Consider the following 13,010-nt stretch of genomic DNA (forward strand, 5'->3'; position numbering starts at 1 on the left):
TGAATCATTAAGAGTATTACTCTGGCATCCAAGATTCCCATTTTTCTTGTCTAAATACAGTCATGTACTGCATAATGATGTTCTAGTCAATGACAAACTGCTTTATACAATGGTCATCCCATAAGATTATAGTACTGTATTTTTACTGTAACTTTTCTGTTTAGATATGTTTAGATACACAAATACTTACCAATGTGTTCCAATCATCTACAGTACCCAGTAGTCACCTGCTGTACAGGTTTGCAGCCTAGGGGCAATAGTTTATACCATATAGCCTAGGTGTAGCATCTGGTATACATCTAGGTTTGTGTAAGTATAATCTACGATGTTTGCATATACCAATACATTTCTTAGAACATATCCTCATCACTAACAGTCACATGACTGTATAAACAATTTCTCAAAATGCCGAGGAGGAAAAGGTGGCCTTGAAGTCTGTGCTGAATTTTCACTGGTTACTCCACCATGACTTGACAGTGGTTTTGATTTCTACCTCTGCAAATGTTCTGTTTAGGAAGACCTCTACAGCATCATTTGTCACTCTCATGTCACTATGGATTTCATCAATATAAATTTATGACAGTGTTACAAGTTTCTAAGCTACTTGCAGTATGAGCCACAACTATCATAAGTACTTGAAAGATCTGGCTACCAGCATTAATAATTAAAAATCTTTACCAAAGACTGCTTTTCTGAAAACCTTAAAAGAGAGGAAATAAAATAAAGGGAGAAGAGGGTCGATGAGAAAAAACATGTATTGTAAATACGTATTGTAGTAATTTGTTAAACAGTTACCTTGTTGTACAAGTGCTCTGTTTATGAGAGCACCATAAAAGTGGTTTCTTTCTTTCGTTTCCCGCCCCCCGCCCCCCCGGCCCTGTGGGAGAAGGGAAGCAATGAAGGAAATGAAAGAGTTCATTTAAGTGCTATATTCACATAAGGCTAATTTGTAAAAGCTCAATCCAGCTGAATATACTTGCAGCCACCACTGGACCACAAAACTTCAGTTGAGCAGACTAATTGAGATTCTTCAGGAGAACTCCCTTGTCTTTGGTAGTTACAGATGTCTCATTAGGCATTCTGTACCTCCCCCTTCTCTAGAATACTAAGTCTGACTCTGCCCGGCCTGAGGACACAGCCTGTGAATTCCCAACAGATTCTAATACACCATCATTGTAAGACAGTTGATTTTGTTTTGCACCCATTTGATTTTTGTTTTTGTTTGTCTCAAACTAAAGTTGCAATTAATAGTACTATGTTAGCTGCACTGGAATACTGTTTAAAAAAAATAACAACAAAAACTATGCTCCGCCTCCAAGACTGTAACATGCAGGCTAAAGGCCCTATTAAACACTTTCTGTAGTCTTACCCAGAGAATTGCTTTCTATAAAAGAAGATCATTAGAGCTCATGGCTGGAGTTCAGGGAGAATAGTAAACTCCATAAAATCTTATTTTCTACCCATTTTCAATTCTCTATAGAGATGCAATATTTGAACATTTGACTTTTATTAGACTAGTGAGAGCGTGGCGCCCACTTGACTATTTTTATTTTCTTCTTTACTAAAAAGATGTGTTGTGGACTCCTCTGTGTATTTCTTTAAAAATGCCTAAAGATCTTTGAGGAATTCGAGTCATGGGAAACTACATGTTTAAGTATTTAATTAGAAGCCTCTCCCATGAGCTGGAAAAAATCTCTTGGCACAATTATGGAATAACTATTTTCCCTTCACTGCTGTCTTTTTTTTTTTTTTTTGAGACGGAGTCTCACAGTTACCCAGGCTGCAGTGCAGTGGTGCGATCTCGGCTGACTGCAACCTCCACCTCCTGGGTTCAAGTGATTCTCCTGACTCAGCCTCCGAGTAGCTGGGATTACAGGCGCCTGCCACCATGCCCGGCTAATTTTTTTGAATTTTTAGTAGAGACAGGGTTTCACCATGTTGGCCAGCCTGGTCTCGAACCCTTGACCTCAAATGATTCACCTGCCTTGGCCTCCCAAAGTGCTGGGATTACAGGCGTGAGCCACTGCGCCCAGCCCACTGCTATCTTAATGTTCAATATTGTGGGCTTGCAAAGAAGCGTGGAATGAAACTGAAATAGTAAAAAGGTCTCCATGTATCTGCATTATTGGTGAGTTTTCACTTGTATGTAAGCAACGGCGTGCACAAACACTTAGCACACACACACGTTTGTGTGTATGTTATAAACGCACAACCCATCTACCACTAAGTCCAAAGTTTCACCAAATTATTTCATTTGTGCTTTTCACATAAAAACAATTTATAGATTTGTCTCTATCTAAAATATAAACATCATTTTTTGGAGATTATTTAATAATTAACGTACTTTCTCCAGAGTAAAGGGTAAAATTTCTTATTTCTATAAAATTTAAATAAGTGTTTTTCTTCTAATTGGAATGTGACAATGTATTTAAATATACTTTCTTTTCTAAATCTGCAACTACCTTTTTCAATGACATTATGAAGGAAGACTTACTAACAAATAAAATTCCACTGATAATTTATTTCAGCTTTTAATATATTTTCTACTATAAAACCAAGCTGTCAAGACAGGAAAATATTACTAGCTTTGTTATTACAAAACAAGTGAGAATTTTTAATTCACAAAGGATGAAAACGCAAGACATTAATCTCACTGTACATACAATATTACAATAAACTGATTAGCTGTAGACTAATAAAACATTTAAGACTTCACACACACACACACACACACACACACACACACACACGTACCTTGAAACAAGAAACACAGGACAATTTTAATCTTTGATATATGTTCATGAACACCAAGAACAAGAACATCACTGATTTGAGTCTAATTGTTTTCCTGGTATACAATCACTAAATAAGCAAGATCTAAAGCATATTGTATTATTAAGGACATCTTTAGGCAAATATAAACATTCTGATTTAGGGCTTTTTCTCCCCACCCGAAACAATCTGCTTTAGCTATCAAGTAGTTTGGTTTGTTATCAATTTAACACGCTCACAACAACAAATACAGACTTTCTACCACAAAATTCAGGTGAGAGGTTTTTAGACAGATCATACAAAAAAATACTTGTTCCCAAGGAAGGCAATCTGTAAATTATAAATGCAACCCTAAGAAAAAAAAATCCTGGTCACAAATCACTCGCTTTCAAATATTGATGGAGAAATAAAAAGTGTACGTTGTGGGTGGAGAAATGTTGGCATGGAAGAGAGGAGAAAAGGTATGAAATGAGGAAAGTGTTATTTGCCACAGGAAATATTGGATTCAGTTGATTTTTAAAAATGAGGTATAACAGTATGCCAGTAAATGAAAAAACAAAAAAATTAGAAACCAAAATGCACATTTCCAATGGAAAAATCTCTAAACCTCTTATAGTTTTATTAGACATTTCATGTACAGAAGTTAATCTAGAAAAATACATTTTAAAAATCTTCAACAGACCATGCTCCCTGTAACAAAACCTTCCAAACCCTGTGTTTTATTATACAAAGCAATCTACATTAGTAGGTAAAAAGAAATTCTCAAATTTAGCAATGTCATTTTCCATCCAACATCCATCTAATTTACAGATGGGTTTCCACTATTCATACTGGAATTAGAATTCTGTAATAAATTTTTTCTAATGTTTTCTGTACATATTAAATAACCCAAAAGGTTCCTCTTGTAGTGCATGTGCCATTTAGCAAGTCTATTCAGTATTTTTCCAGTACCATTCTCATTACAGTGATTTGCCTGTAAATGTAGTTAATATCTAAAAGTGCACACAGTTAACTTTCCCAAATAACGGACTATTTCTGGAGGAAACCTAATATTCACAGAAAAGATTACCAATAACAATGATTAGAAATGTAGGGTTAGAATGTACTCTGAGACTATACAACACAATTATATACACAAGCTAAAGGACATTAAGTCTTTAGCCTATATTTACATAAAATAATGTGTGTTTCCACAGGGTCATACCAATAACTCAGTATGGTACTAGATATAATTAGGATTGTTAGCTACAATTCAGTATAGCAAGACAGCCCTAAAATGCCCTGAACTGACTTCCGCTAACTAAAACTCCAGTATATCACAGTGTTTTAAGTAATATTAGTGTGCTGCCCAAACAAGCAACTAAGATATCCAGTAAGGATGCTGTGTAACACAGTAAAAGACAGCAAGCCTTCATCAAGGGGTTATTTTGGGGTTATAATGAATTTTGGCACTTAAGACTGCCACTGCATGCAGAAACCCCGAAAAAGAAATACACAGGTTTCAAAATGGATATACTTCATTTTGTTTAAAATGCCCAAGAGCCTTTGCAACATAACTGAAAGTATTGTTCTATCAAGTCATGAATCTTGAGAAGAAAGTACATTATCCAATTTCAGGGAAAAAAAATACAGTTTTCTTACCAAATTATCCAGTGTATATGACTGGTTAGAATTTTAAGTTTTGATTTTTACTGAAATTCAGAGTATGAAATGCAAACATTCAGGATAAAATGAATTCATAATTACACGCAGTTATATCAACTTGCAACAAAGCAGCAAATATGAGGGCCTAACACACATCTCGACTCTCCCCTTCCCTTCTGATCCCTCAAAAAAAAAGTGCAAAATCAAAGAGTCACTGCTTGGTCCAAAAAATAAAATACATTGTGTATAAACATTTGAAATCTGATGGAATCCAGCTTCTATTCCACAGGTTGTCTTCAGTAAGAATCAACGTCCGAAGATGGAACTCAGTTCCAGAAGAATTAATTCTACAATCTGATTCTGGTACACAGTATGAACTGCTATATTACCAGTCTCTTTTTCTGGTTTTAATAGAGTGGGACCAAAAACAATTGCTATACTCTGATAGGTCATTCGATTTTTCTCTCCATTTTCTATAACTCTGAAGGGAAAAAAAGAAGTTGTTAAAAGAGAAAATAAGAGAGAGGGAAAATTCTTCAAATGGTATTATAAACCTAACAGTTTGCATTTTAAAAAGAGAAGTAATACTTATTTTCCTAAGGTGATGCATAAACTATTTAACCAAGTAGAATTCTGTCTAAATGCCATGTGAAGCTTTCTTTTTGATAAACACAGCTGAAAGATACAATTAAGCATACTCTAACAAACTTAAAATGTGTGATATTTTAGCTTAGTTTTTAAAATAGAACATTTAAGTATGAGTTACAATTCAGGTAACAGTGACTGCTCCATTAAGTTGATGGGAAAAAAATCTCATTAGGGTGTGGAGATTAAACTTTCCATTTTACTCATTTTATGTAATTTCTTTAAAAAAAAAAAACTCTCTCTAGCTGGGATTTTTTGTTTTAGTATTCTAGTGTACTTTCTATCAGATGAAAGAACTTGGTTATTAAAGTGGCTATGTAGTAACCTAGAACCATGACGGTAACTTAATACACCTCAATTAATATCCAATCTCATCTTCATATTAACCTTAGCAACAATTTCTGAACACCTACTATGTGCTAAGCATTACATAAATACTTCACATATAATACCTACTTTACTGTATTCTTCATAGCAAATCATTTACCCATGACAGACTGATACTAAAAGGAGTTGAGTAACTTTTTCAAGTTACAAAGACAGCAAGTAGCATAGCTGGGATCCAAATCTGAGTCTGAGTGACCCTGGCCCCACAGGCCTTCCCGCTTCCCCTTGTGCTATACCACATCCCATGACTGGGCAGTCCTCCTACCTTCTGAGATGTCGGAAAAGAATCTGCATTGTGTCTTGGTTTGGCTTTGGCAACTGTCTGATTAGGTCCTTAACAGCAGCGACTCGCTGTCTTGGTTCTTGCTCTGAAAAAAGATAATAACCAGATATTTTACAGCAAATTCTTATGAAACTGAAAGCAATGTCACAGTTTGGAAGCTGATATTTGGTAATACACAGTGACATCTGGTGGTCACATTTAAAATGTTTGGAGTAAAACAATCTGTTGAAAATACTTGCTTAAAGTAAGATAAAAAAAATTGGGTGGCTTAATCTGTGCAAAGAATTTTCAATATCTAGAAAAAACTGAGTAGAATTACATACTTACTAATTGCATTAACAAAATCATTAAAATGATTAAATGTAAAAAGAGGTTCTGGTAATTCTCGAAAAAACATTTTGAGGGCTCCAGTAATGACATGAATATCTTCCCATTTACTGTCATTCAAGTCCAATTTCTCATCTGAAAAACAGCAGGAATTGGACATTTTAAAAAATTACTTTAAGCCAGTTCAAAAAGTTATGAGTGATGCATCTGAATAACAACAGTAAATATAATCTTACCATGATTGACTGCAAACCTTAGTTTCTGGATCACTGCGAGGTTGCCACTTACTCTGTATATCCCATCAATATCCAAACCTAAGAGACAATAATAATTTGTGTGTGTGTGTGTTTAAAGTACTTCTTTGCCTCTTCTGAACACGTTTGCATGTGTCAGAATTCCCACTCATTTGCATTAGCCTAAAATCAAATGGGCAAATATTCTTTTTCTCTAAATGGCTTCTGGTAGATGCTTGGCAGGGGAGAGAGATGGAGATTCGCTCTGAATTCTGTTTAATAAACAGCAGTAATTCTACTCTGCTCATCATATAGACTGTGAATCAGCTCAAGGAAATGGTTTCATTAATCTTAAAACACTAACAATTTCAAATTTCTGAAAACATCTGGGGATAATTCAAAATTAAAGGAAGTCAGCAGGTAAAATCAGCCCATGCATATTTTGCATACCATTTTATAATGTAAATGCACATATTGTAAAAACTTTATTGAAGGCATCTGTCATATTAAGTGTTTGTAATAAGTAAACTTAATATAACCACTAAATTAATGGTTCTATAAAAACAATACATAATTTGCTATAATTTATTATTTTCTTTTATATGTGAAACAGAATCATCTGAAATTCATACAATTAAGCCCCGAAATTTCAGGTATTCATTAAATGATAATAATGTACAAATTTACTAAAGCACATTATTGAATGTACTATTCATTTAGCTTCAAATTAAGACAATAGTGTAGTATCCCTATTGCCATGTTGACAAGAAGAGTCAGTGGGACAAGAGATCTGTAACTGGCAGAAATTACAAATTGAATTATGTGTTTTAATTGTACAAAATCTCTTTCATGATATACAGAGATAAGTTAATGTGATTACAATATACTAATGTATATAAAACTAGTATAAATATTATAGCTATGTTTAAATTAATCACAATAGAAATTAGTTTGTCCTATTTTACAGAAAATGACATAAAAATTTTTATCTCGTGAGACATTTGTGGTTGACTTAACCATTTAAAATGTCATCTGATTTTTAGGACAGAAGAAACTTAGTAAGTAAACACAATCTCCTCGGATCTTATACATTGTCAAATTATTTCTTAAAAACAAGCTCAATTTCACAATCACTACCTTCTTCATTTTAAGCAAATGCTTAAATGAAATGGCATCAAAGAATAGCATATACTTAATTAACTGTGAGTACCAAACATTCAGCAGATGCCTGGAGAGATCTTAATTTGAAACAGGTGTAAACATGTAAGTATTTGTAAACAAAATTATTTTCTTAACATCTTAGGACTATAAGGAACTTCTGTTTGCATCACTCAAAATCATAAAAATTCTAGGAATTTTGATGGCAAAACAAGAAGCTGGTTTGCTTAATGTTAAAAAAAAAAATCAAAATCCTTCTCTTACCATGTTCTTCAACATGTTCAATACATAACTTCACAAACTTTGGTACTGTGCCATTCTCTCTCTGACACAGATTAGCGAGATTGGATCCAAATACCTGATCTGAAAAAGATTTATTTTTAAAAAGTCAATCACCTTGCTGAAATTCAGTTCATGAAATGGCTAACCATTCAGAGTGCAACAGAAACATCCAGCGTAACCAAATATTGTTTAACATGGCCCTATGCCTTATGCAATATGCATCTTGCCTACTTCTTTTCACTTCAAACAATTCGTTTCCAAACTCATACAAACCCTTACTCACTCTTGCCTGAAAATTCTTTGTACTTTCTACTGCTTTTGCAGAAAGCAATTTTCTACCCAATTTGGCTCCTTCTTATCACTCCTGGTCTCAGCTAAAATGTCACCTACTTTAATAACCCCTCTGACCATCCTTACCTAAGAGAACCCAGTTCTAGACACATTCTATTTTATTACTGTGTTAGATTCACAGCATTTGTTACTATTTCACATTATCTTGTCTACTTCCTACTTGAGTATAAGTTTCATGAGGGAGAGGACCAAGGACCATGTAGTTCCTGAACACCAACAGGTATTCATAGCACCTAGGCTTGTGCCTGGCACTTAGTAAATACTTGATTATTTTAAAAACTATTAAAATAAGCATATGTCCGTCCATCACGTACCAACATTTGATTTCACAAAATACATTTCAAATACTCTTCTATTGATCTTTCAACCCAACAGTTTTGAAATTCCATATTAGTGGTAAATGTTCAGGAAAACAAACAATTTGAAGTGATGAATAAGGACATAAAGTGACAACAGTTTATATTTCTCAGGGAAAAGGCCTGGTGAACAAATTAGCAACAGTTTCTATTCACTTATTTGCCAGGCTTTTTTTTTTTTTTTTTAAGTTTTTAAAGACTCTGAACTCATCATACAAATTCAAATGCTTTATTGGAGAGTACCTAATTTGAATTAATCAGCTAGTCTCTTCCTAGAAGTCTTAAATACCTTTTTTATTTTATTTTATTTTTTTTAAGACAGTCTTTCTCTGTCACCCAGGCTGGAGGACAGTGGTGCAATCATAGCTGCACTGCAGCCTCTAATTCCTGTGTTCAATCGATCCTCCCACTCAGCCTCCTAAGTAGCTAGGACTACAGGTGTGTGCCACCACACCCAACTAATTCTTTGTAGAGAGAGGGTCTCTCTATGTTACCCAATCTGGTCTTGAGTTTCTGGACTCAAGCAATCCTCCTGCCTCCCAAAGTGGGGGGTTTACAGATGTGAGCCACTGCACCTGGCCTTAAATACCTTCTTAATAAAACTGGCTTGCGTGTTTTAATGCAGATGCTTCACAAATAGATGGTCTTTGTTAGAAATTTCATAATAATCAGAGACAGAGATATACATTATAGACTATATTATCTTTACTTTTATTTTTATTTACAAATAAATGCCATTGTTTTAAGTCAGGTATTAGAAAATTTTACCTTTGGAATTAAACACGCTCGTAAGAACTACATACACAAGTAATGTGATTTTTTTAAAGAATATTTTCCTATAAAAAAAAGATTGTTAGTCCATTATAGTGCTTATAAATGAAATAACAGGCAAATAAATTAGTTAGAAAAAAACACCTTATGCTAATTTTTCAGTTACCTTAAATGACAGCCAAGGGTAAAAATTATTTGTTCATTTTTCTTTCTATTGTTAGTGATATTCAAAATTTCTTATTTATTGTGATCTTTGCATCTCAAAACTAAACTTTTCATTGTCACAATTTCTAAAAGTCTGCCACCCATCACATCCATGTAGTTCCTCTGAAACAGGCTTTCTAAAAGTTTAGTGTGTTATTTATGTCTGTCCACTACTTTAGTTAAAATAAACTTTCAAAAAAACTATTTTAATTACTTAATGTCTTTTAATCACTGTACTTGAATACATGAATAAAGAATAATATTCTTACTGTTTGAAAATGTTTGTTTTTAATTTGAAACATTTTATTTATGACGTAGGCCAACATTCATTATTATCAACAATACTTCTCCTACCAACCTTTAATATAACCTTTTTCACGAACAGCTTGCAAAGTGGGGCGTCGTGTAAGAAACTTCTTTAAGTTTTTCTTGGTTTTTTTCTGTTCTGAAGAATCTATGCTAGATACTTTAAAGGCTTAAGACAAAAAGACAGGTAATGAGCATTTGTAAAAATAAAGTTTTTTTGATACAAGTTTTTCCAGCTAGCATGCAAAACACATTAACCTCATATGTCAAGATCATAGTACAATTCAGTTATTTTAACTTTAATGTGGTTTAAGGACAAGATGTGAAGAATTACATTAACACAGACCCCATTTCAAAGTTATAAACCAAACAAAACATTTCATTTTTATCACTAAAAACAGATGACAACTGTACCTTCTATGGTATATCTGCCAAGACATCCCTAATTTACTCTAACATATTCTTTATTTCATAAATGATTAACTACTTATCTTTATTGATTCTCCATCAGTTTTAGAAGGTAAAATGACCACCAAAAAGTAAAAATACATAAAATACACAACAAAACAATCCCTATCTTCATTGAATAAGAAAACTGGATATACACACAAATATATAGAGATATAAATATAGACATATAACCATCATAACTATTATACTTGTATTTTAAGCTAACTTTCATCATAATTATTTGTACTCTAAGCTACAAATGGGACTACATGGAAAATGTCCTCCATTGCCTTTAGTCTTGATTTTTCTGTTATAGTAACAAAAATTCAAAAGGTATATTTCTTGAAAATAATTCTATTTGGGGGAAGTTGAGAGCATGAAGAATCTATAATATAGAATAAAAAATAATCACTTTTTATGTTAAATTGCTACCTGTTGACAATGTCAGTAATAGGCCTAAAGTTCATTAGAAATACAGAAAAGTAGTACTGATTTTCTAATCATTCAGTTAATATGAAGGCCAAAAAGTTCTCAGTTAAACGTGGATTTGTTAAAATAGACTGAACAAAGTACCAAGTCACAAAGCTAACGGCCTATTTAAGCAATGTAATTCATAAGGGGCCAACATTAGAAAATGCTTTTCTTAAAGCTGCTGGCTTTTGCTATGCTCCTTTCTGTAGTAAGATCTGGAGATAGAAACGCTTGCATCTGTTTACATGCACAGACACATCCTAGTCCAGAGATGGATGCCTGGTGTCCAGTAGGAAATTATGGTACATATTCCATGACTTTTGACTTCTTAAAAAGTATAAGATTCTATGTAGAATCTTAAACAGTAAGTATATATTTTTAAATCAATGAAGTTCAGCTTCCTAGAGGCCTCAACAGAAATGCACTATACTTCTTCTCTGAAAGTAGCACAATACCTTAAAATTAATGTGATGCCACAGGATGCATACTATGAGGCTGAAAAACGACAATAATGAGTTAACAAGAAGAAAGAGCGCTGACACACTGAGACTGCACTTGGTTAACTGCACAGCCCTTTTGTAACATTGGACATTCCATTCAGCTTTTATATATGTATTTAAAACCTTCAAAAAGCTAAGAGAACAAGCACAAATCCTTAGCAAAATAGGGAAAGGACAACTTACAACGAAGCTTTTTGGGATCCTTTTGTTCCTTTTCTTTATCATGCTTTTCTATTCCTGGTGAATCCGGTATCTCCTCTTCAATTCCTTCATCAGTTTCTACTGCCTATTGGTTAGATATTTCCCAAACACATATTACACTTCTAGTATTACTATAGTTGGAATGGCATAATTCTCACAATGACTATTGTAAATGACTCTTCCAAACAATTTTAGGAAACCAATTAGTATACAGTATGTATGACTTAGATATTTGATAAATACTTTTTTTCTCCCTAGATGGCATCAATTTTGATTTTTTTAAAAAAGAAATTGTTGCTGAAAATTCACAGGATAATGGGTTAGTTTACACTGATGATGAGGCTATCTTGCCTCATTTTAATCAACTGTATATTAGTGACACTAACAGTTAAAAGGTTAAGGCTATAATCTATGGTGAAAAACACAATAGAGCTACATTCTCTGACAACAGTATAAGACTTCTACACATGGACCTGACAAGAGTATTACCCTGTAACAACAGGACAAGACTCATACTTCAGATTCACGGTTGTCAACGGAAAGAAATCCTAGAGCGGCCAGGCGTGGTGGCTCACACCTGTAATCCCAGCAAAGACTTTGGGAGGCCAAGGCAGGCGAATCACCTGAGGTTATGAGATTGAGACCAGCCTGGCCAACATCATGAAACCCCCTGCCTCTACTAAAAATACAAAAATTAGCCGGGCATGGTGGCACACGCCTGTAGTCCCAGCTACTTGGGAGGCTGAGGCAGGAGAATCGGCGTGAACCTGGGAGGCAGAGGTTGCAGTGAGCCAAGATCGCGCCATTGCAGTCTAGCCTGGGTGAGAAAGTAAGACTCTGTCTCAAAAAAAAAAAAAAAAGAAAGAAAGAAAAAAAAGAAAAGAAATCCTAGAGCTCATCTATAACTAAGGTCGCTTGTACAGATTAAAGAATGACTGAGTTCTCAAAGCTAAAAACCTTTGCTCTGCCTTCACATGGAGATCTTTACTCCACCTGGAATTTATTTTTGTGGATGGTTTAAGGAAGGGTTCCAGTTTTTTCTTGGATTCCCAGCTGCACCAGCACCATCTGCTTCCTCTACAGTGCTCTATCTGGCACAAAGTGTCCACAGGTACGTGAGTCTGTTTCTAGGTTCTTTATTCTGTTTCACAGGTATGTATGCTTATCCCTGCACAGATACCATACTTTATTAATGAATATGACTTTTTAAAGACTTGACATATGATGGTGCAAGTCCTTTTACTTTCTTCTTCAAGAGTGTCTTAGGTATTCTTAGTTTTTTGCATTTCTATATAAATTTTAGAATAAGCTTGTCAAGTTCTACCAGAAAAACTACTGGGATTTTAAATGAGATTCAAAAATCTCGAATCTGTAAGTCATTGGAAGAAAATTATATCTTTACATTATTGAATCTTTAAATGCATTAACAGAATATACTTCTCATTTAATTAGGTTTTATTCAGTGTCTCTCAATAAAGAGTTGTAATTTTCCCTGCAAAGTTCTTGCACCTCTTGCTACATTTAGTCCTTGGTTATCTTCTGACACTTTGGAAACAGTATGTATTTTAAAATTTCTTAATCAAAAATATAGGCCAGGTGCAGTGGCTCCACACCTGTAATCCCAGCACTTTGGGAGGCCAAGGCTGGCAGATCACTTGAGGTGAGGAAT

General features: G+C 34.2%; 1 protein-coding gene across 10 annotated transcripts in view; it reads right to left on the bottom strand.

Annotated features, from left to right (window-relative positions):
- Positions 1 to 2,462: 2,462 nt before the first annotated feature.
- ARHGAP12 (Rho GTPase activating protein 12) overlaps positions 2,463 to 13,010 on the bottom strand; it is a 123,479-nt gene continuing 112,931 nt past the window's right edge. For all 10 annotated transcript variants that reach the window (XM_017016954.3, XM_047426021.1, XM_011519761.3 and 7 more), the window contains 7 exons: positions 11,324 to 11,426; positions 9,772 to 9,888; positions 7,714 to 7,812; positions 6,295 to 6,372; positions 6,059 to 6,193; positions 5,714 to 5,816; positions 2,463 to 4,897 (listed from right to left, as the gene is read on the bottom strand). In XM_017016954.3, the coding sequence (XP_016872443.1) occupies positions 4,723 to 4,897; positions 5,714 to 5,816; positions 6,059 to 6,193; positions 6,295 to 6,372; positions 7,714 to 7,812; positions 9,772 to 9,888; positions 11,324 to 11,426 (810 nt within the window). In that variant the 3' untranslated portion in view covers positions 2,463 to 4,722. The remainder of the gene's footprint in view (positions 4,898 to 5,713; positions 5,817 to 6,058; positions 6,194 to 6,294; positions 6,373 to 7,713; positions 7,813 to 9,771; positions 9,889 to 11,323; positions 11,427 to 13,010) is intronic.

This window comes from Homo sapiens, chromosome 10 (genome assembly GCF_000001405.40).
Source record: "Homo sapiens chromosome 10, GRCh38.p14 Primary Assembly".
NCBI classification, from domain to species: Eukaryota; Metazoa; Chordata; class Mammalia; order Primates; family Hominidae; genus Homo; species Homo sapiens.